Here is a 2365-nt window from a genome sequence, read left to right on the forward strand (position 1 = left end):
AGTAATGGAAACCTTAGAAGAAAGTGACCATTGTAGTAGAAAAATTGCTATGAAGGTGTTGAAGATAAAAGGAGTCTGGAGTGAGCAAACATTATTACTACTCAGGAGAGTATTAAAAAAAAAGAAACAGTTTTGAGGGTTTAAATTTCCAGAACAAGGCATGGTCAAAAAGCTAGAGAATTTCTACATCTGTCCCTAAAACATCAAATACCTCTTGTAGCTTCAGGTCCAATGTTTCCAAATATCTGCACCAAATTTTGATATCTGGGTTTGTTGACATACCACACAAGTTGAAATGTGTGGAGTCCTGTTCGATTGTCTATGTTATTACAGCACTCATAGGGAAAAAGGGAGCCCCTGACAATGGGAATGAAAACATTTGAGTAGAAGCTGATGGGAATATTTTGACATCCTACCGTCCTCAGGTTTTCTTTGCCAATACAAGTATGCAAAACCTAAATGGAATGATTGCCTTCAAAATGAAAAAAAAAGAGAATCCAGAATTGTCTAAAAATAATGGCAAAGTATACAGGATACAATAGAAAATCTCTCAGCATAACAAGAAATAGAAACATCACAACTTGGATGAGCATATACAATCAATAGGTATCAACATTGAGATAAATAAGATGTTAAGAATTTTAAAGCAACTGCCGTGTAACTGATTCAACAAAAATTAAGGATTCTTTAATAAAAAGAATATTTAACATTTTTATTCTCAAATAAACAATAGAAAGTCTTGGCAAAGAAATAGAAGCTATTAAAAATGGGCCAAATCAAGATCATTGAATTGAAAAATGTAATAAGTATTTTTTTTTAGATCTGAATGTTTTAAAGTAGAGTGCAGATGCCAGAGAATAGAATCAGTAAACTAGAGGACAGATAATTGAATTTACATAATCTTAACAACAAAGATTAAAAAAAGAACAAACAAAACAAAACAAAAAGCCCAACAGAGTATGAAGGACCTGTGAGAAAACAACAAATAGTTAATATGGGTTGCAATGATGTGTCAGGACAGGAGAGGTCTGGTACTGAAAGAGCATTCAGAAAAATAATGACTATAAACTTCCCAAATTTGGAGAAAAACACAAGCCTAGAGATCCAGGAAGTTGAGCAAACTCTAAGTAAGATAAAGAGTTTCAAACAAAGAACACCTCATAAACTTTAGAGGACTAACAGAAAAATTTAAAAATCTTGAAAGAAGCCAGAGGGAAATTATGCCTTACCTGCAGGGAAACGATTCAAATGACAGCTGACTTATCTTCCACAGAGACCACAGAGATTAGAAAAAGGTGTCACACAAGTTTTCAGGTACTGCAAAACATTGACAACCCAGAATTTTATATCCTGTGTAATAATCTTTCAGAAAAAAAGAGAAATAAAAATATTCACAGATAAAAGAAAATTAAAAGAATTTGTTGTAAGTGGACCAAACCTGAATAAATGGCTAAAGTAAGTTCTTCAAATAGAAAGAAAATCATAAAAGAAGAATGTTTAGAGTGTCAGGAAAGAAGACATAAAAATGAAAAGAGCAGAAATAAGGATTAATAACACTAGAATATTCCTCTCCTCGTGAGTTTTCTATGCCATATCTGATGATTAAAACAAAAATTATGACACCATCTGATACACAAGACAATGATCTTTAAAAGTGAGAGGATATGGAACCTAAATGGAAGTAAACTTTCCATACTTTATTCAAACTGGTAAAATGCTTATATTGATAGATTGTTATAAGTCTCATCTATATATTGTAAAATCCAGAAAAACAACTAACAAAAGCTTTACAAATATACATAGATATAGACAAATATATATAGATACAGAAAAGATATATAGATATAGACAAGTAAAGATGAAATGCCAAAGAAAAGCGATAACCCAAAAGAATGCAATAAAGAACCAGAGAAATGAGAATTGGAGGAATCAAACAGAAAACAGAAAATAAAACGGTAGTTGCAAGCCCTAACATTTCAATAACTTTAAATGTAAATGGAATTAATATAACAGCTAAAGGCAGAAGTGGCAAAGCAAAACAAACAAAAACAACCACAGTCTAATGAACTAGTTTATTAGAACTCATCCTGAATTCAAAAACATAGGTAGATTGAAAGTAAAAGGATGGAAAAAAAGATATGCTGTGGAAACCTTAATTTTTAAAAACACTGACAATATAAATATTTGATAAAATAGACTCTAAAAAAGAAAATTATGAGACAAAGAAGGACATTATATAATGATGAATATTCAAAACACTAGGAAAACAAATGACAATAAATGGGTAAATGGCAAAATACATGAAGCAAAAAGCAATAGAGCTGAAAGGAGAAATAGACAAACCCACAGGTATAATTAGGAACTT

The sequence above is a fragment of the Homo sapiens genome, chromosome 7, assembly GCF_000001405.40.
Source record: "Homo sapiens chromosome 7, GRCh38.p14 Primary Assembly".
NCBI classification, from domain to species: Eukaryota; Metazoa; Chordata; class Mammalia; order Primates; family Hominidae; genus Homo; species Homo sapiens.